Here is a 21099-nt window from a genome sequence, read left to right on the forward strand (position 1 = left end):
AACTGTATCTTTGTGACTTTGCTGCGCAACTAAGATACTCCAAAATAAAGTTTATTTTTCATTATTATTATTATTTTTTGAGATGAAGTCCCGCTGCTCTTGTCCCCCAGGCTGGAGTGCCCTGGTGAGATCTCGGCTCACTGCAACCTCTGCCTCCCCAGTTCAAGCGATTCTCCTGACTCAGCCTCCCGAGGAGCTGGGATTACAGGAGCCAGCCACCACGCCCGGCTAATTTTTGTATTTTTAGTAGAGATGGAGTTTCAGCATGTTAGCCAGGCTGGTCTCCTGACCTCAGGCAATCCACCCGCCTCAGCCTCCCAAAGTGCTGGGATTACAGGCTTGAGCCACCGCGCCCGGCCTAATAAAGTTTATTTTTAAAAAAAACAACCAAGGGACAGTCACCTAATGGGCTACTACTCAGCAACACAAATAATCTACTGATAATCTACAGATAAAGACAACAGGGATGAATATTAAAAATGTGCTGAGTTAAAAGAAGCCTTTTATACCAAAGAATGCATACTGTATGATTCCATTCATGTGGAAAGTCTGGAATAGACGAAAATAATCTATGGGTTTAAAAAAAAAAATCAAGATCAGCCGGGCGCAGTGGCTCACGCTTGTAATCCCAGCACTCTGGGAGGCCGAGATGGGCGGATCATGAGGTCAGGAGTTCCAGACCAGCCTGACCAACAGTGAAACCCCTTTTCTACTAAAAATACAAAAATTAGCTGGGCGTGGTGGGCGCCTGTAATCCCAGCTGCTCGGGAGGCTGAGGAAGGAGAATCGCTTGAACCTGGGAAGCGGAGGTTGCAGTAAGCCGAGATTGTGCCACTGCACTCCAGCCTGGGCGACAGAGCTAGACTCCAAAAAAAAAAAACCAAGATCGTGGTTGGCTCTGTGGTGACTGGAAGACGATTTGAAAGGACAAGAAAAAACTTTTGAGGGTGATGGCGATGTTCTACATCTTGACAAAAGGTTTAGGTTACACAGCTGTATTTTTGTCAACGTTCATCAAATTGCATACTTAAGACTTGTGGGTTTATACTGATGTGAATTTTACCCTCTAAGATTTAAAAAATAGTAAGCGGTACTGAGCTCTATTTAATATGCACATACTAAAGTTGGAGGGGTCTCCAACTTTACTTTGAAATGCATCGACAAATAAGGTAAAATGTTAATTACAGAATCTAGGTGGAAGTATAACTCTTTTTCACCTTCTGTTTGAAAACGTATGTGATAAAACCTTGGGGGAGAAAGGCACTGACTACTCGACCTCACTTATCACCACCGATAATCATTTTCTTTTGGAGTCTTTCCTAAACTCCTTGGGGCTTATTTCTAATCATGATCAGCATCTGCACGCTCTCGTATATGTAAAAGAAATTAATGAATTATGAGGGCCTTTCTAGACAATCATGAGCCATGTTTCTGCCAACCCTTGCTGTATTTGATGTGCTTTGATGTACTTCTACTTTGTGCTTTGATGCACCTCTACATCAACCTTCGCTGAGCACAAGGCAATTCCCCCTCCTTTGAGTCCTTAGATTCCCACCCAGTCTGGGAATTCACGATAGAAACACGACGGGACACAGAACTAATATAACCAAGATGCCACCACAAAATTCAGTTAAATGTGCTGAAACATGAGGCGGTAAACTGTGTCCCCGACTGTTTCGGGTTTCTGAACCAGCAGCTTTGTCTACGAAACACACATTCAGGATACCGTGTAAGGGTTAGAACATGTTACCACCACCAACTGTTGGCAGTCAAGACAGTAGTTGATAAGCCACCCGTCTACCAATCTCCCTCTTTCTGCCTAGGAACCATGGCGCGGACGGAAAAACGAAGCCATGGTGACTAATCCTCAGGCTCCAGGAGGTGACTGGGGTGAGTGAAGGCGACTTGACCCAATCAGGAGCGCCGCAGGGGCGGAGCAGCAGCCTCGAGGCTTCCAGAAGGGGCCAAAAGCCTCTCGCTGGCTACCTGACACCGGGGCTTCCCCGCCGCCAGGCCCCAAGTGGCGTCAACTTTCCTCCACCAGAGGGGGACCGCGCTCCCCGCGCCCCCCAGGAATCCGACTTCCTCCGCAGCTGTCACCAGAGGCCGGCGCGGGGCCCGCCCCGCTCCATTCATAACCAGGACCCCAGCCGTTGCAGCCCACAGCGCCGCCCGCCCGCCGGGCTTCGGGAGGCAAAGGTGGCGGCGGCGCACCGCGGAGTAGGGGCTGCGGGACCCCGGCCCCTCAGGGCTGCGGCCGGGCCCCCTCCCCGGAAACAGCAATGCACCACGGGAGAGGGGTGGGGGCCGCACGCCGCCAGGAGGGGACGGCGACCCCCGGCGGCGAGACCCCCGCGCGCTCCCCCACTGGCACACGCCCCCTCGCCCCAACTGCTGCGGCTCCGGCTCCGCCAAGCGTCCAGCAGCCGCCCGAAGGTCCTGAGGCGCGGCCCGCCGCCCAGCCCCGCCGCCGCCGCCGCCGCCGGGGGCACAGACAGCCGCCGCCGCCATGTTCGAGGCGGCCGGCCGCGGGGCGCTGCGGGGACGTCTTAAGGGCGGCGGGGCCCAGCCGGAGCCCCCCAGCCGCCCCCCAAGGCCAGCCCCGCGTCCTGGCCCCTCCCGCGCTCCTCGGCTCGGTACTCACGTGAGATAACGGCCCAAAGAGTCGGGTAAAGCGTCTTCTCTTTTTCGGCGGAATTTTTAAAGAGGGATGTGGTTACCTTGAGCAGAAATACCCAAGGCGGCCTGGGCCATAGGCTGCGGGAACGACTTGGGGGTAAAAGCGCGGCACCGACACCAGCTGTGTGCAGCAGTGGCGGCGGCGGCCGAAGGAGAAATAGAACAGCGCAGGCAAAAGAAGAAAGGCGCGGGCTGGGTGGGAAGAGGATTCGGACTCGTCACACTGCAGAGCAGCAGAGCGAGAAAGGATGAGAAGAGGCAGAGAAGGCGACGGCAGAAGAAAAAAGGAAAAACTGCGGCCGCGATCAGAGCCTGAAAGTGTGAGAAGGCGGCGCCAGCGACGCCAGTATTTATATTAGGGGGCGTGGCCTGGTGACATCACAGCTGGCCGGGCAGCCGCGCGAGCGGGGCGGAACCCGGTTGCAGCCCGGAGAAAAGGGAGGGGGACGGAAGAGGAAGGAGGACTGAGCCCGGGAGAGAGAGGGGAGGGGTCGGCGCGCGACCGGGTCATGCAGGTGCAGACTGGCCGGTCGCTTCCCGCCCTCCAGCCACCCGCAGCTCCCCGGCAGGCGAAGGGCGGCCGCGCGGGTGTGGGCCGAGAGAGGGAGGCGGCTCGGCTGGAGCGCGCCGTCCGCCCGACCCCCGCCGCCTCTCGGGCGCCTGCGCTCACGCTGCGGGGCCCAGCGCATTGTGAGCCGGGTCGAGCTCCACGCTGGCAGCGTCTGAGAGCTGTCCTGGGCCGGAGGTGGCGCGAACCCTGTGCGGCCTAGAGTGGGCCTGGGGTAAGCCTGTCGGCGCCGCTGCCGAGCCTTCGCGTCCAGCTCCCTCCGCTTTGTGAGGCCTGTAGTTTACCCTGGGGAGTGTCCTCCCGGGCTGAGGCGCCCGCCCTCGGTGATGCGGTACTCCTTTAGGGAAGCGAGTTCCTCGTGGCCAGAAAGGACCGGCCCAGTGTCCGGGTGTTAAAAAGGGTTGTGACCACGTGAAAATGTCCTCAGTGCTCGAACGTTGCAATACGGTGCAGTGGAAATTTTTTAAAGGAATATGGCTTTTATGTCTTCATTTTTAAAAGGATTGGTGGAGTCAGTCCCAAGCAGGACCCGCGTTGGAGAGGGGATTACTGATGTTACAAGCGCACATTACTTCAATCCCCTAGGTCTCATTTTCGCGGTCGTTTTAATTTTTCTACTCCACAACAGACTTTTTTTTACTAGGGGTTCTAAGATTACCTACATAGCTTTTAATTTATTTTCATCTTTTTTAGATGCCTCAGCACTAATGATCATGATCAGAGACCCCGAGTTCTCTCGTGCTGCTACGCTTCGCAACACATAGCACAAATGGAATATGTGTTGACACACCCCTCTGAAGTTAAGATCTTTGATATTAAGACCCTGACTTTTTTCCCTTTCATTCTTCCGAACCCTCTGTGTACTTTGAGCAGCACTGTGGTTGATTAATAAATCATCAAATGTGAAAGGAAGAAAGCGACCTTCCTGTGTGGAAAAGCAGGGTATCTTGCGAGGCTGTATGAGAGAGTATTCGGTAGAATCAGGAGCTGTGGACGCATTCCTGATTTTGTTTTTCCTTATTTTGCTCGGCTATATCTTGGCTCTGTCTTTTATTTCTTCAAAGTTCTGTTCTATTCAGAACATTTGAAAACACAGCCATTCACTAGACCCTCTCTGGTGGAGGAAGAAAAACTAGAGATGAATACAATATTTGAAACCTTGCTTACAATCTAGCAGGGGAAATAAGACAGCAATACAAAATAAATTGTTGGCTGATACAAATAAAATGCTGCAAGGACCAAGTGGAGGGAAGAGATGATTGCAGCTAAGTGAGAGAAAGGCTGCTGGGGAAAGGTAAAGAGTGATTTTGAGAAAAGCCTTTCTAGACAAAGGTGCTTCCTTTTTCACCAAACTCGCCTGTTTGGTGATTTTGAGAGTAGATGTTCCAGTGTTCCAGGCAAGGGAAACGGATGAGAGAAGGCACAGAAGTGGGTGGGTTTAGAGAATTGTGAATAGCCTTTCTGGTTCCAGCATAGGGGCATGGTTGCAAATGAGATTGAAACGGTAGATTAGGGTGACATCAAGAAGACATTGGAGGCTGGGCGCAGTGGCTTACACCTGTATTCCCAGCACTTTGGGAGGCCGAGGAGGGCGGATTACCTGAGGTCGGGAATTCGAGACCAGCCTGACCAACATGGAGAAAACCCGGCTCTACTAAAACTACAAAATTAGCTGGGCATGGTGGCACATGGCTGTAATCCAGCTACTCAGGAAGCTGAGGCAGGAGAATCTCTAGAACCTGGGAGGCGGAAGTTGCAGTGAGCCGAGATCACACCATTGCACTCTCCAGTCTGGGCAACAAGAGTGAAACTGCGTCTCAAAAAAAAAAAAAAAAACAAAACAAAAAATTGGAACTTGGACTTTATTCTGGAACCATATAAACAGGAACATGATATGCTCAAAAATATGTTTTTTAAAAGATTACTCCAGCACCAGTGGGTGGGATTGAAAAGAGGTAGAAAGTTTGGAAGTGAAGGAAACTCTTACAGCAGTTTTCTGGGGTCTTTTGGTTTACTTATTTATTTATTTTAGTACTAAGGGGGCCGGGCGTGGTTGCTCACTTGGTGGCCTAGTGATGGTGTGGTGGCCTAGCACTTTGGGAGGCTGAGGCGGACGGATCACTTGAGGCCAGTAGTTTGAAACCAGTCTGCCCAACATAGCAAAACCCTGTCTCTGCTAAAACTACAAAAATTAACCAGGCGTGCTGGTACACGCATGTAGTCCCAGCTACTTGGGAGGCGGTGGCAGGAGAATTGCTTGAACCCGGGAGGCAGAGGTTGCAGTGAGCTGAGATCGCACCACTGCACTCCAGCCTGTGCAACAGAGATGTACTTTGTCTCAAATAATAATAATAATAATGAAAGTACTAAGGGGATTCAGAATGGATGGGAGGGAAAACGCACAGAGAGAGTAGAGATAATCTTGACTTTCAAAGGAGATGAGAAGGTGTCAAGTGATTTGGGGATATTAAGCTTATCAACAGGGAGAATTCTGGAGCCATAAACAGAGATAGAAATAGAAGGACCCTGCCAGGAGCAGTGGCTCACGCCTGTAATCCCAGCACTTTGGGAGGCTGAGGCAGGCGGGTCACGAAGTCAAGAGATCAAGACCACCCTGGCCAACATGACGAAACCCCGTCTCTACTAAAAATACAAAAATTAGCTGGGCATGGTGGCATGTGCCCTGTAGTCCCAGCTACTTGGGAGGCTGAGGCAGGAGAATGGCATGAACCTGGGAGGCGTAGCTTGCAGTGAGCCGAGATGGTGCCACTGCACTCCAGCCTGGGCGACAGAGCGAGACTCCATCTCAAAAAAAAAAAAAAAAAAAAAAAAAGAGGGAGTAAGATGAGGCTAGGTTTTTTTGCCTTTTGTGTGTGTATGTGACAGTGTGTCACTCTGTTGCTCAGGCTGAAGTGGAGAGGCATAGTCTCGTCTCACTGCAACCTCCACCTCCTGGGACCAAGTGATCATCCCACCTCAGCCTCTGAGTAGCTGGAACTACTGGTGCACCACCATGCCTGGCTAATTTTTTGTGAAGACAGGTCTTGCCATGTTGCCCAGGTTGGTTTTGACCTCCTGGACTCAAGTGATCCACATACTTAGGCCTCGCAAAATGCTGGGATTATAGGCATGAGCCATCACACCAGGCCTGAGGCTGCTGTGATACAGAGTTTTAGCTGTTGAAGAAATAGCCAGGTAAAAATGGTCCAGAGGCCTCTGAAAATGGGGAGATCTAGAACCCTTTGGGTGTGAATTTGGGAGCCTTTCCTACAGACATGATAATTAAGGAATTATTGAGGTATAGAAGAAAAGAGTATAAGCACAGGATCTAGAGAATGCCAGAGATAAAAGACAGCCGCAGAGAAGACCAAGAGGCCGAAGAAAATGACAATAGTGCAATGCTATGCTATTCAAGGAAGAGGGTGCTTATCGCAAAACGGGATGAGTGATCAGGGTTGTCATATCCTCAAACAGGTTGGAAAGGGGATTCTGATTTTATCAATGCTATAGGAACTATATGCCATAGGACCCTAACTCTTATTTAAATCAATTTGTCTCTGGCAAAATTGGTTTTGTTATATGGTTAATGGTTTGACTTAAAGTTACAGTTTCCAAGAACCTATGGATGACATCAAATGAGGATGTACTGTATTAAGTACTATTGTATATAGTAGATTATGGCATTGTAGCATTATAGTATATTATTGCAGTCTTAACAGTTGGGAGTATAATGTGTTTTAGTTCCCTGCCAGCCCACAGAATTATTCAGATGAACCAATAAAATTTTGTTTTGAAATTCAAGGCACATCTCACTTTCTTTTTTTTTTTTTTCTCCTAAAAGACTCTCGCTCTGTTTCCCAGGCTGGAGTGCAGTGGCATGATTATAGCTCACTGCAACCTCCACCTCCTGGGCTCAAGCGATTCTCTCACTTCAGCCTCTCGAATAGCTGGGATGACGGGTGTGCACCACCATGCCTAATTTTTTTTTTAAATTTTTTGTAGACATGGGGTTTCACCATGTTGTCAGAGCTAATCTCGAACTCCTGGGCTCAAGCGATCCTCCCACCTCAACCTCCCAAAGTGTTGGGATTACAGGTGTGAGCCACCACACCAAGCGTATCTCACCTTCTTGATACTACAAAACCTTCCTCAGTCCCCTGTTTGTTCTCTTTGCTCCCAAGTGCAATCCCTGTGTGGGCCTGCATAGCTTACACTACTTTCCTCTTCTTGTCTGAGGGAATGTGTAACTAATAAACTGTTGTTGATCTTTAAAGAAAAAAAAAGTTTGGGTTTATATTCCAAAGGCGTTGGAAAAGGCTTCAATCATGGAAATGATTTGTATTTTAGAAAAGGTGAGAAAGTGGGGCTGGAAACGTAAAATACTCTTAAGTTTTTGGCAGGCAGAACATACGTGAAGCCATTGTAGTCATTCATGGAGAATAGCAAGGGCCTGGAAAGAATTTTATCTGTAACCTTTAACAGAGTAATATCAGCAGAGTAGGAGAAACAGGAAGTTGTAAAGGGTTGAGTGAGGGGCACTTGCAGTCAGTGAATGTTGACCTCTCTTTAAGTAGATGATACTGGACTAGAGCCTAAGCCAACATCATTTGCACCATGAAGCAACTCAACAACATTTATTATGAAAAGTATGTGCCCACACAATTAGTATTTTTGTATTCAGATTTAAAGAATAATGCTAGCTTTACATGAATACAATAGTGCTTTGAAAACTATACCACAGTAGGCCGGGCACGGTGGCTCATGCCTGTAATCCCAGCACTTTGGGAGGCCGAGGCGTTCAAGACCAGCCTGACCAACATGGAGAAACCCCGTCCCTACTAAAAATACAAAATTAGCTGGGCATGGTGGTCATGCCTGTAATGCCAGCTACTCAGGAGGCTGAGGCAGGAGAATCACTTGAACCTGGGAGGCAGAAGTTGCAGTGAGCTGAGATTGCGCCATTGCGTTCCAGCCTAGGCAACAAGAGTGATACTCCATCTCAAAAAACAAAAAAACAAAAAGAAAACTGTACTACATTGGAATAGACAACATAGTGTAACTTTAATGGAAGGATAGCTATCTAATGAGAATGGCATATTTAACTGTGTTTGGGGTTTTAGTTATTTTGCCAAGTCAGGTTACTCATACACAAATATGCAGGTAGTGCCAGCAAAAATATTATCATTAAATAGAGCCCTAAGATAAAATAATATAATACTGTTCCTACTTAAATCACCTAGGTCCATTGATTCAAACTTATATGCTTTTGTGCCAATAGATATGAAAGATTGAATGAATTAGATGATTGATAAGGGTAAGTCACTCAACATAAATAGGTAAGGCTGGGCATGATAGGTCATGCCTGTAGTCTCAGCACTTTGGAAGGCTGAGGTGGGGGGATCCCTTGAGCCTAATAATTCAAGACCAGCCTGGGCAACATGGTGAAATGCTGTTTGTACAAAAAATACAAAAATTAGCCAGGCATGGTGGCATGTGCCTGTAGTCCTAGCTTCTTGGGAGGCTGAGGCAGGAGAATCACTTGAGCCCAGTAGGTCGAGGCTGCTGGGATCGTGCCACTGCACTCCAGCCTGGGTGACAGAGCAAGACTCAGTCTCAAAAAAAAAAAAAAGGTAAACAAAATCATCACCCTATAATAGAAATCTCATGTAACCACATATATAAAAGTTAAGAGTTTATTGGTAATTGAGAGTAAAAATCCCAGTTTAATGGATGCTATAGTTTGAATGTGTACCCCAAAATGCCTCTGTTGGAAACTTAATCCCCAGTGCAATGTTGTTGGGAGGTGGGGCCTCATGAAAGGTAATTAGGTCATGAGGGTGGAGTTAATAGATTAATGCCAGAGGGGGTTCCTTATAAGAGGGGGAGTTCAATCCTCTTACTCTCTTTCTCTCTGTTGTCCTTTCTTTGCTCTTCTACTATGGGATGACCCAGCAAGAAGGCCGTCAGCAGATGCTGGCCTCTTGATCTTGGACTTCCCAGCCTTCAGAACGATGAGCCAACAAATTTCTGTGCATTATAAATTAGCTAGTCTGTGGTATTCTGTTACATCAGCACAAAATGGACTAAGACAATAGGAATGTTTAAAGATAGCTTCCTATAAATTTTTATTGCTAAGGTAAATTCCTGGAATACTCCTTATCCTGTAGAAAACCAACATATATAGATGTTGAATAGTAAAAACATTCACATTTTAAAACATGATATTTTAGCCATCCACTACATCTTTTTTGTGCTCCAATAACCTTTCTAAAAAGCCAACTCACTTACCAATAATCTAATGCTATGGTATTTATGGACTAGCAAAAATGTTTCAAATTACATTGCTGGGTACAGAGTTTAGATTATATACTATTCTCTCTTTTAACTAAATAGATGTAAAAAGCCTAACAGATGCTCCTTTATTTGCTGAGTATCTGTTACTAAAATCCTGACCGGGTGCAGTGGCTCACACCTGTAATCCTAGCACTTTGGGAGGCCAAGGTGGGTGGGTCACTTGAGGCCAGGAGTTCAAGAGCAGCCTGGCCAACATGGTGAAACCTCATCTCTACTAAAAACATGCACACCAAAAAAAGTCAAAAATTGGCTGTAGTCCCAGCTACCCGGGAGGCTGAGGCACGAGAATCACTTGAAACCCAGAGGCAGAGGTTGCAGTGAGCCGAGACTGTACCACTGCACTCCAGCCTGGGCAACACAGTGAGACTCTGTCAAAAAAAAAAAAAAAAAAAACACACACAAATCCTTGGAGTCATTTTTTGTTTTCCTTTTAAAAATTATTTTGGAGGCACAGTCTTGTACCTCAGCCTCCTGAGTAGCTGGGATTAGAGGCATGTGCCACCATGCCTGGTTAATTTTTGTATTTTTATAGAGATGGGGTTTCACCATGTTGGCCAGGCTGGTCTCAAACTCTTGACCTCAAGTGATCTGCTCGCCTTGGCCTCCCAAAGTGTTGAAATTACAGGCATAGCCACTGCGCCAGGCTAGAGTTGTAATTTCTTTACCTGGCTTGGCTTTCACCTCAGATGAGAAATCATTTTATTTAATATAATTGTTATGTTTAATTCTTTTCACAAAATGTAGCACTTAGGTCAGTAGGGTTCTGTGCCGTTCCAGTCTAGAGATGCCCTGCATCCTAGCACTGGCTCATATTCATCACCTATATCTTTGTTCACAGGATAATTTAACCTATGGAATGGTGTGCATGACAAAAAAAGGGTGATAGAGTCCAGATTAAAATTCACATGTAAGGGAAAAGAAAAACATTTTTCCTATTTTGATTTCAGTGGCTGTGTATGCCAGTAGATGGGGGTCAGCATTTTCCCTCATCTGAGTGACTTGGAAGGTTTCTGCAATAAACAAGTCATAAGCATACACTGACGTCTTTTATTACTTCCAGAAACAACAAATTACTCACTGTTAATTTAAGAGGGCTGCTTTAGAAACCTCTGTAAGAGGCCAAAGGAATAATCCAGTTTTACAAGTTAAATGTAACTTAGGTGATGTGTAGGGAAAACTCTATGATTTCTCTCTACTCTGACACCACAACAACAATCAACAACACGAGAAGACTTCTGTAACCAAACGTGGTTTTTTTTTTCCCCATGCACCAAGCAGTGGACACCAGCTGGGTGTCCTCTAATTCAATTCTGACACTATCTACCTGAAGATACTGTCAGAACCCACAGGTTGAGGGCTCAGTCCCCAAGACTGCCCACCCCGCAACTCCAGTCATTAAGTCCAGGCCTCCTGAACTTCTGACCTACAGGCTTCAAGTTGGGGTTCCCATGACCTCCTCTTTGGGTTCGATTAATTTGCTAGCACGGCTCACAGAACTCTGGGAAACACATACCTGTGTTTACTGGTTTATTATAAAGGATATTGCGAAGGATACAGATGAAGAGACACATAGGGCAAGATACAGGGGGAGGGATGTGAAACCTCCATGCCCTCCCTGGGCCCGCCACTCTCCAGGAACCTCCATGTGTTCAGCTATCTGGAAGCTCTGTGAACCCAGTTCCCTTGGGTTTTTATGGAGGCTTCCTGACATCAGCATTCCTTCCCCCAGGGTACAGGGCAGATTCTTTCTGGGAAAAGTCTTAAAACCCACAATCAGAAAGATAGAAGATTAGAGTCCTGCCTTGGGGCAGGTGAAAGGAGGGCAGGAGAAGGTCAGAGGCTTGCTCCTGAGGCTTAACACACCTCACATTATAACAAAAGACTGTAACAAGGGCTGTAGGAGTTATGAGCCAGGAACTGTGGATAAAAACCAATGTATATCATAACACCACAGATTATTAGAATAAACAATGGACAGATCCATGAGCTTGCTTTGGAAGTTAGTAAATCCTTGTAAAATTAATTTCATTTTCACTTTGCTACCAGGCATTTTCCGATGACAAATATATTGTTTATTGCATAATATATTGTAAGATAGGTTTGTATCTCTCTATCTCAAAATAGCGACCTGGCAGCTAGCCTAACATTTTTGGTTAAGGGCTTAGAAAATGGGAGCTCTGAGATTGAGTCTTGTTGGGTTTGAATTGCGGTTTACTTTATATTCTTTCATAATGTAGCCTGGATGCTATCACATGAGCTTATTCTTCTTCCTAAATGTTAATAATGGTAACTGCAGGCTACATTTTCTTGAATGAGACTTTTAAGATTACTGTGTCATTTAATTTGATATTTTGCACGTTTTCTTAACCTTTTTATCGATATAAATTTGCCTTCTCTGATTGTAACTGGAAGGAGAAAAGTCCATGCAATAAAGACAATAAGATATTAGTTCTTTATCAAAATAGGGAGAAGAGAAACATAAACAACTTTCTTTCACAAAAATAATCTTTTTGTATCTGACTCAAAAAGATTATCAGGCGAGGCTTGGTGGCTCACGCCTATAATCCCAGCACTGTGGGAGGCCAAGACGGGCAGATCACTTGAGGTCAGGAGTTCAAGACCAGCCTGGCCAATATGGTGAAACTCCGTCTTTACCAAGAAAATACAAAAAAAATTAGCTGGGCGTTGTGGTGTGCACCTGTAATCCCAGTTACTTGGGAGGCTGAGGCATGAGAATTGCTTGAACCCAGGAGGTGGAGGTTGCAGTGAGCTGAGATCGTGCCATTGCACTCTGGCCTGGTTGACAAGGTGAGATCTTGTCTCAAAAAAAAAAAAGATTATCCAGTCACCTATGATAATAGCAGTTAAAAGACTTCAGTCAGTCCTAGCTCTGCTTGGCTAAGTGACTTAACTGTAAACCATCTCCATTTGTTTCAGAAAATGTATTTTCTGTTCTTTTGGAAGTACTTTTCCCTTTCTATTCCCTGAGTTCTGTTGTGAGCTGTCATCATAACCTGGGCCTCCCTGGCTAAGTAATTGGTACAAGGGCTTACAACTTCTTGCCCAATCTTGGGAGTTAGTGCAGCTCAATAATGATTGGCACATGTTTGATTCAGACCGTTCTCTCCCTGGGATTTTTCTATTAATAAATGGTTGCAGGAAGGAAGACTTGAAGAGGGAATCATTTCTTTTCCGTCTCAAGTTATGACAATATGAGTCAAGAGCTGCCAGTAACTGGGGTTCCAGGAGAAACCTATGTGAGAAGATGAAGCCACCATTTGTCATCATAAGGGGTGGGTCAGCATTCCAGTTGTCCCATTTTTCTTGCTCTTCAGTTATACAAATAAAGAAAATTTAGGCCGGGTGCGGTGGCTTACGCCTGTAATCCTAGCACTTTGGGAGGCCAAGGCGGGTGGATCACAAGGTCAGGAGATCGAGACCATCCTGGCTAACACAGTGAAACCCCATCTGTACTAAAAATACAAAAAATTAGGTGTGGTGATGGGCACCTGTAGTCCCAGCTACTCAGGAGGCTGAGGCAGGAGAATGGCGTGAACCTGGGAGGCGGAGCTTGCAGTGAACCGAGATCGCGCCAGCCTGGGTGACAGAGTGAGACTCTGTCTCAAAAAAAAAAAAAAAAGAAAATTTTCATTCTTATCTAAGGTAGGTCCGGCTAGCTTTCTGTCACTTGCAACCAAAAGTCCAGGCTTATACAAGAGACAGAAACAAAAAGATATTTAGGTTAAAAAAATCAGTTGCACAAGTACAAGACAGGAGAGGCCTGCCTGATTATTCACAGTTTACATAGTACCTAGAAATGTTAGTTAACCACAAGCCTGCCATGAACCAACGAAGGCACAGAATTGCTTAAAACAGAACAAAACCTGAGTGCAATTTGGATTGCAATAGTAAAAGTATAGGTCAGAAGGGAGGTAGCAGTTTGGTTTACTATGTTTGGTCAGATCCTGGCTGTAGCTTTTCTGTTTTGGGGAAAAGTTGTATTGTTGTAAAGTTCTAGATAGCACATTGTACAGGAGAATGAAAACTAGATGGTATGGAGGAGGATAGCCATAAAAGTGAGGAGATTTAGGAGAAAAATGTATTACTAGTAATGATAAAAATTCTAGAGAAAGGTTGGTGAAAAATAACAAGGGAAATGGAAAAAAGTAGAAGCAAAAGCCACCATCTTTAAACACCAAATACCAGGCACTATACTCATGCACTTTATTTTGTTATTAAATCCTTCAGTAAGCTTCTCAGGTAGATAGGTCTTACTATGCCCATTTTACAAATGAGAAAACAGAAGTACAGTGAAGTTATGTAATTTGTTCAAGGTCACCTGGCTAGACAGAGAGGGTCCACATTTATATCCAAACATGTCTAATCTAATACCTAAAGCCAAACTCTTTAGCTATACTACCTCTTTGGATAACTTTCACTGAATAATATGTCAAGCTCTGACAGGTAAATGAAATAAATTAGCGTCAGTACATGAGGATCAGTGGTTCCCTCTGCCAGACAGGCTATCTTGTTTCTCCCTCTGAGTTTCCATGAGGTTTGGTTTGTGCCTTTCTAATGCCCTTTGAATTTCTTGTCTGATGTTGTTGTATTATTGTCTGAACTCTGTGAACAAGATATTAAGTTTCTTTAGGGCAAAAACTTTGGTGTTTTTTGTTTTCTGTTTTTTTTAATCTCACAGAACACTCAATACAGTGCCTTGTGCACAGACTTCTAGTGTCTTCCTAACCATGGGGTAACTGACAATGGAATGGGATTTCTCATGGAGCAGAAAGCTATTATATCACTGGATTTGTTCAGAGATACAGAGGGAATATCTGCATTGGATGTTGGACCAGAGGAACTCCTTAGACACTTTACTTCCATAGCCCCAGTGTTCATTACATATTACATTTTTCAAAATGAAATTAGCTTTAACTTTAAATATGATGATTGCATATTAACATAAAGAAGTTGTATTTCTTTATAATCTTTGTAATTATAAAGAAATATATATAATTATATATAATTGTAATTCTTTATAATTATAAAGAAATATATATAATTATATATAATTGTAATTCTTTATAATTCTTTGCTTACCCATACTAAAATTAGGGTACTTTTTATTTATTTATTTATTTATTTTTAAAGACGGAGTTTCGCTCTTGTCGTCCAGGCTGGAGTGCAGTGGCACGATCTCGGCTCCCCGCAACCTCCGCCTCCTGGGTTCAAGCGATTCTCCTGCCTCAGCCTCCCAAGTAGCTGGGACTACAGGTGTGCGCCACTATGCCCAGCTAATTTTTGTATTTTTAGTAGAGACAGGGTTTCACCATCTTGGCCAGGCTGGTCTCGAACTCCTGACCTCGTGATCCACCCACCTCGGCCTCCCAAAGTGCTGGGATTACAGGTGTGAGCCACCACACCTGGCAAAATTAGGAAACTTTTTAATCAGTGTTGGCCATATTATTGATTTCTCCTCCCAAGAGAAATCAGCAACGTACAATAGGAAAAAAAATGCCTATGGCTGGGCACAGTGGCTCACACCTGTAATCCCAGCACTTTGGGAGGCCAAGGCGTGCAGATCATTTGAGGCCAGGAGTTCAAGACCAGCCTGGCCAACATGGTGAAACCCTGTCTCTACTTAAAAAATACAAAAATTTCCAGGCGTGGTGGCTCACGCCTGTAATCCCAGCACTTTGGGAGGCCAAGGCAGGCAAATCACCTGAGGTCAGGAGTTCGGGATCAGCCTGGCCAACATGGTGAAACCTCATCGCTACAAAATACAAAAAAATTAGCTGGGCGTGGCAGTGTGTGCCTGTAGTCCCAGCTACTCGGGAGGCTGAGGCAGGAGAGTCACTTGAACCTGGGAGGCAGAGGTTGCAGTGAGCCGAGATCCTGCCACTGCACTCCATCCTGAGTGACAGAGTGAGACTCCATCTGAAAAAAAAGAAAAAAGAAAAAATGCCCATGTCGACTGGGCACGATGGCTCATGCCTGTAATCTTAGCACTTTGGCAGATGGATAGCTTGAGCTCAGGAGTTCAAGACCAGCCTGGGAAATATGACGAAACCCTGTCTCTACCAAAAATACAAAAATTAGCTGGGCGTGGTGCAGTACGCCTGTGGTCCCAGCTACTTGGGAGGCTGAGATGGGAGGATCGCTTGAGCCCAGGAGATCAAGGCTGCAATGAGCTATAATCATGCCACTGCACTCCAGCCTGGGAGACATAGTGAGACCCTGTCTCAAAAATAAATAAATAAATAAATAAATAAATAAATAAATAAATAAATAAATAAAATAAAAATTTTTAAAAAAGCCTGTGCCTAATTTGAAAGAAATTTATAAATTTTAAGTTTTTAGTCAGGGAAGTGGAAATGAACTGTCGTAAAATGGGAGGTTTTATATTTATTTTTGTTCCTAGTTACTAAGACAAGAATGCTATTCAAAGAAAGTGAATGAATAGAAAATGGGAGACACTATAATAGTATAACATCAAGAATGCTTAAAAAAACAGTCTCAGAATTGTTCTTTGTACACAAAAACAATGGTGCTTAACAATATATTGGTTCCTAAATCAAATTTCCAGCTGCCAGCAGCCACCCTTGAGTGGGAGGTGATTTAGTGCGAGCAAGTTGGTTGCAGCATGCCTCCTGCTTCCCAGGCACCGAACCCACTGGTAGCAGAGCTAGAGGACTGTTGAGCACTTGGATCCAACATCCTACTGCTCATAGTGCCATAAAACCATGAACTAAACCTTTTAATTATTAGAGAACAATGATCCGTAAGGCAAAATCGGTGTTCTTCCAGATGGTATTACTTGGGGCCTCCACTGCTGCTTGCTCCTGCCCTCTGGTTGCTTAGATCTTGGGGAGCCTCGTTAGATGGGGCAAAGCCTGCATGATCTGACAGCCTCAGTGAGCAGACCAGAATCGCAGGGGAGAATATGGGACAACATGTTCTACAATGATGGCCTTACTATTAGGAGAGAAGCCCTTGGGAAACCTACTTCATGTTCTGTCATTTTTGCCATTTCGGGAAACTGCCAAACCTGCTTATTTGAAGTTCATCCATATTCTTTTTCATCCCAAGCACCCAGAATACCAAATCAAAATGTGAGGAAAGCAGGATGGTACTAGAATGTGGGGGCAAATATGGGGGCCTTCAAAGCTCATATAATTAATCAAATCGACAATAAAAAATACAACTAGAATTTCAGCTTTATCATAATGGACATGAAAATGGGAGAATATAGCCTTTGTGTTTTTCCTAGATGCATTCTAAATTGTACTGTTAAAGAAATTTCTGAACTTTTACATACAAGTTTTTAGTTGGTCATTGTGCTCATAAAAATACTTTTAGAAAACAAGTGAAACTTAGGAGTGCTAATTTAGTAAAATGGCTGTCAAGATCTGGCAGACTGCCTTACATCATGGCTCATGCCTGTAATCCCAGCTTTTTGGGAGGCCGAGGTTTGCTTGCTTAAGCCCAGGAATTCAAGACCAGCTTGGATGACATAGTGAGACCTCCATCTCCACAAAAAATAAAAAATTAGCTGGGCATGTTGGCACACCTGTAGTCCCAGCTACTCGGGAGGCTGAAGTAGGAGGATCAATCAAGCCCGGGAGGTTGAGACTGCAGTGAGTTGTGATTGCACTGCTGCCCTCCAGCCTGGGTGACAGTGAGACCTTCTTTCAAAGAAAAAAAAAAAAAAAAGATCTGGTAGACTGAGTTAGATTATTAGGATTTCTAAAGATATATTTGAAATCAAATGATAAAATCCTATGAGTTGCTCAATATTTTACATTTTAATAAGATTGGAGATTTTTCAAATTATAAAATATTTTCTTCATGTCTGTGATATTTTCACTCAGCCTTAAAATCAGTACAAAAGAACTCTCATCCAAATTAAAATCACTGGATAACCTTAAACTTTCCCGTCTTGTCTCCTGATAACCTCCTGTTTATTCTTTAAAAATCAGTATAAGCCTAATTTTCCTCTATGGAAATTTTAATGAATTTTTCCTGTAGGTAAAGTTATTTTTGCCTTCCTTGATGCCCAAATTCTATCTGTCCTAGCTCAATGGATTCAATATTTATTGAATTACCCAGCATGTGTGAACCAATTACAAAATTGAAGACATGGGTATTGCTATAGTTTGAATGTCCCCTTCAAAACTCATGCTGAAACTTAACCTTCCATGTGGCAGTATTGAGAGGTAGGGACTTTAAGAGGATTAATAAATTCATTGATTAATGGATTAATGGCTTCATGGATTAATAGGTTATCATGGGAGAGAAACTAATGGTTTTATAACAAAAGGAAAACAGACCTAGCTAGCATGTGAGCACACTCACCCCCTTCACCATGTGATGCCCTGCACCACCTCAGGACACTGCAGAGTCCCCACCAGCAGCAAGAAGGCTCTCACCAGATTCGGCCCCTCAACCATAGACTTCCCAGCCTCCAAAACTGTGAGAACTAAATTTCATTTCTTAAAAATTATCCAGTTTCAGGCCAGGGGTGGTGGGTCACTCCTATAATCCCAACACTTTGGGAGGCTAAGGCAGGAGGATTGCTTGAGGCCAGGAGGAGTTAGAAACCAGCCTAGTCAACATAGCGAGGCTCTGTCTCTACAAAACAAAAATTAAATTATTTTTTAATTTTTAAAAATGTTAAAGTAGCTTGGATGTGGTGGTGTGCACCTGTGGTCCCAGCTACTCAGGAGACTGAGGCAGAGGATTACTTGAGCCCAGGAGTTTGAGGCTGCAGTGAGCTGTTATTGTGCCACTGCACTCCAGCCTGGGTGACAGAGCAAGGCCCTATCTCTAAATAAATAAATAACGAACCAACCCAATTTCAGATATTCTGTTATAAGCAACAAAAAATAGACTAAGATATCTAAGAATATAACTGTTAGATACTGTGGCAGGCAGCCTCTAACATGGTCCCCAATGATCCCACCTTTTGGTGTGTAATCTCTTCTCCTTGAATATGGGCTGGATTTACTGACTTGTTTCTAATGAAAAAAATTTGGCAAAGGTGATGGGATGTCACTTTTGGGATTAGGTTATAAAACAACTAGGGCTTTTTCTTGAGCATCTTCTCTCTGTCTCTCTCTCTCTCTCTGAAGGAAGCCAGCTGCCATGTTCTGAGTACTCTCTGGAAGGGCCTGCATGGCAAGGAACTGATGTTTCCAGCCAGCAGCCAGCAAGAACTGCAAGCCTTGTGAATGAGCTTGGAAGCAGATCCTCCCCTCACTCAAGCCATGATATGACAACAGCCTGAGACCCAGAGGTCAGTAAATTGTCAAGTTTGTATATCTAGCAAATAGCAGAGCCAAAATTCCTGTCACTCAAACTCAAGATTTCCTCATCTATAAAATGTAGTTGTTCCACATGGCCAGATGCAAAGTGTCATTTAGCTATAAGAGTCTAATGAATCTAGGTCCCAAATTAAGTTCATCATTGTCCCCTCCTTCCCCCTACACCCATCCTCTTCTTTCAGGCTCCCTGCCCATGTTTTTTTTGTTTGTTTCTTTTTTTTTCGCCTGCCCATGTTCTTGATTAACTGTCAAATCAGTCAGGCTCAAACTTTTGAAAATTTTAACGCCCTCTTTTTTTCTCCCTTCTCATGTATAAAATGAGTTCTGCACGTTTTTTTCTTGAAATTATCTTTTTCTTCTTCTCCCTAGTTCAAGCTTCTACCATATCATGTGTGGATAGTTGCAAAACCGACAGAGTGTCCAGTTTTTCCTGGCCCAATCCACTTTGTGTGGATACTTCTCATACTAATCTTCTTTAAATGCTATTTTCATCGATGCCTCCAAAAACCATAATGAGCCCCTGTTTCTTATAAATTATGTCCCACTCCTCTCTTGGCTTAGCTCTCCAAAAGCCAGCACCACCCCTGGGAGCCAGCTTTCTAATCCCCAACACAAACCTCCTGCTTCAGTCTATCTGGCTTGCTCTTGGGCCCTTGAGTTATCCATGCTGGTGTCTGCCTCTGAAACTTTGTATTGTCTTTGGATTGTTATTTTATTGTTTACCCAAATTCTGCCATCCATAGCATCCCAGCTAAATCCAACATCCTGCTCAGATCCCAAGAGGCTTCACTATTGCTAAAGTTGATATCACAGATCTTTCTAGACCCTTAGGGGCTGCTATTCCCCATTAAACTTCCCTATTCTCTTTCCATACAAGTACCTAAAATGTAAGTGTCCCCACTCATCCATCTTATCCTGTACACTGGTCCCCAGACCCCCTTGTGCCTCCCCAAACTCATTCCCTCACTGCTTCATTCCTCCTCATACCTTTCTGCTGTACTCTCCGGAACCCCCATTTTATGGAGAGCAAACCATCCTACATCCCCAGCCTGTCTCCCACTCCTTGCCTTAACAGAAACTTGGCTATCTTACAAGAACATAGCTTCCCCTGCTGCTGTCTTGAATTGAGGGGTGTTTACTTTACCAGTCCTCATATACTGCGGGGTTGGGAGCAGGGTTGGCCTTCTCCCAGCTTCACAGTGCTACTGCTACGCCATTGCTCTGAAAATAAATAAGAGATTAAGCCAGCTGGCATGCCCGCCCCCCATCCGTCCATGCCTGTATCATCTAACACCTTCCTGACACTCCTACGATGATTTTTTTTAAAGGCACCTGGTTTATAATCTTTCTCTCCTAGATTAAAGATCTTAAATTACAGCTTTAAAACAATATTTTTTTATTATTCTTTCTCCTTAAAAATATACTATAATACGCCATGCTGGATGGCTCACACCTGTAATCCCAGTGCACGGGGGGGCTGAGGCAGGAGATTCTTGAGGCTAGGAGTTTGAGACCAGCCTAGACAACATAGCAAGACCTCATATCTACAAAAAATAAATACTAAAAAAATTAGCCGTGCATGATGGCATATGCCTGCAGTCCCAGCTATGAAAGAGGCTGAGGGGGGAGGATTGCTTGAACCCAGTTGGAGGCTGTAGTGAGTTATGATCGCACCTGTAAATAGCCACTGCACTTCAGCCTGGACAACAGAGTGAAACTGTATCCTTGAAAAAAAAAACTACTATAATAAAATCCCTCTATAATCTTATCTATCTGCACCCTACTCCAGTGATGACCACCATGCACAGCTTGGTGTGCGTGCTTCTGAAACTGCAGTCTCGAATCTACTTTAGAGGTCATTGTCTTTGTGGATTACCTTTAAAGCACCCTACCCTTCCTGCACTTTTATCTGCTCAACTCCAGGGACCTTCACCTGCCCCCAACTATTCTGTATTAGAGGGCTTAAACTCCAACCTTCCTCCCTCTAACTACAACCTCCTTTCCCTTCTAGTTGCCTCATGCTGTCCCCATACCTGCTTTTAAGGTATAATCACCCAATCTTTTCTTTTTAATTGAGCTGAAGTTCACATAACATACAATTAACCATTTTAAAGTACACACTTCAGTGGCATTTAGTGCATTCCAAGTGCTGTGTAAATACTAGCCAGTCTGCAG

The 21099-nt window shown here is 44.5% G+C and overlaps 1 protein-coding gene and 1 long non-coding RNA gene across 15 annotated transcripts in view, besides 6 other annotated features; one reads left to right on the forward strand and one right to left on the reverse strand.

The window, feature by feature from the left end:
* Positions 1-3038, reverse strand: part of AZIN1 (antizyme inhibitor 1) — a 37899-nt gene extending 34861 nt beyond the window's left edge. For 11 of the 13 annotated variants that reach the window (NM_001363010.1, NM_001363013.1, NM_001363011.1 and 8 more), the window contains exon 1: positions 2645-3038. The gene's annotated coding sequence lies outside the window, so the exon portion shown is untranslated. The remainder of the gene's footprint in view (positions 1-2644) is intronic. The other 2 variants (NM_148174.4, NM_001301668.3) reach the window with 1 other exon arrangement.
* Positions 1145-1878: an enhancer, noted in NCBI's record as "H3K27ac hESC enhancer chr8:103874535-103875268 (GRCh37/hg19 assembly coordinates)". NCBI's record gives its function as "activates a minimal SCP1, AML or CMV promoter by ChIP-STARR-seq in naive H9 embryonic stem cells {active_cell/tissue: H9 hESC(naive)}" and the evidence as "EXISTENCE:reporter gene assay evidence [ECO:0000049][PMID:30033119]".
* Positions 2228-2457: a silencer, noted in NCBI's record as "silent region_19447". NCBI's record gives its function as "represses an Ori minimal core promoter by ATAC-STARR-seq in GM12878 lymphoblastoid cells {active_cell/tissue: GM12878}" and the evidence as "EXISTENCE:reporter gene assay evidence [ECO:0000049][PMID:35858748]".
* Positions 3109-21099, forward strand: part of MAILR (macrophage interferon regulatory lncRNA) — a 113606-nt gene continuing 95615 nt past the window's right edge. For both annotated transcript variants that reach the window (NR_126338.1, NR_126339.1), the window contains exons 1-2: positions 3109-3461; positions 18733-18896. This is a non-coding gene — a long non-coding RNA (macrophage interferon regulatory lncRNA). The remainder of the gene's footprint in view (positions 3462-18732; positions 18897-21099) is intronic.
* Positions 3118-3467: a silencer, noted in NCBI's record as "silent region_19448". NCBI's record gives its function as "represses an Ori minimal core promoter by ATAC-STARR-seq in GM12878 lymphoblastoid cells {active_cell/tissue: GM12878}" and the evidence as "EXISTENCE:reporter gene assay evidence [ECO:0000049][PMID:35858748]".
* Positions 3118-4079: a biological region, named in NCBI's record as "NANOG-H3K27ac-H3K4me1 hESC enhancer GRCh37_chr8:103876737-103877469".
* Positions 3347-4079: an enhancer, noted in NCBI's record as "NANOG-H3K27ac-H3K4me1 hESC enhancer chr8:103876737-103877469 (GRCh37/hg19 assembly coordinates)". NCBI's record gives its function as "activates a minimal SCP1, AML or CMV promoter by ChIP-STARR-seq in naive H9 embryonic stem cells {active_cell/tissue: H9 hESC(naive)}" and the evidence as "EXISTENCE:reporter gene assay evidence [ECO:0000049][PMID:30033119]".
* Positions 11043-11542: an enhancer, noted in NCBI's record as "H3K27ac hESC enhancer chr8:103884433-103884932 (GRCh37/hg19 assembly coordinates)". NCBI's record gives its function as "activates a minimal SCP1, AML or CMV promoter by ChIP-STARR-seq in primed H9 embryonic stem cells {active_cell/tissue: H9 hESC(primed)}" and the evidence as "EXISTENCE:reporter gene assay evidence [ECO:0000049][PMID:30033119]".

The sequence above is a fragment of the Homo sapiens genome, chromosome 8 (genome assembly GCF_000001405.40).
Source record: "Homo sapiens chromosome 8, GRCh38.p14 Primary Assembly".
NCBI classification, from domain to species: Eukaryota; Metazoa; Chordata; class Mammalia; order Primates; family Hominidae; genus Homo; species Homo sapiens.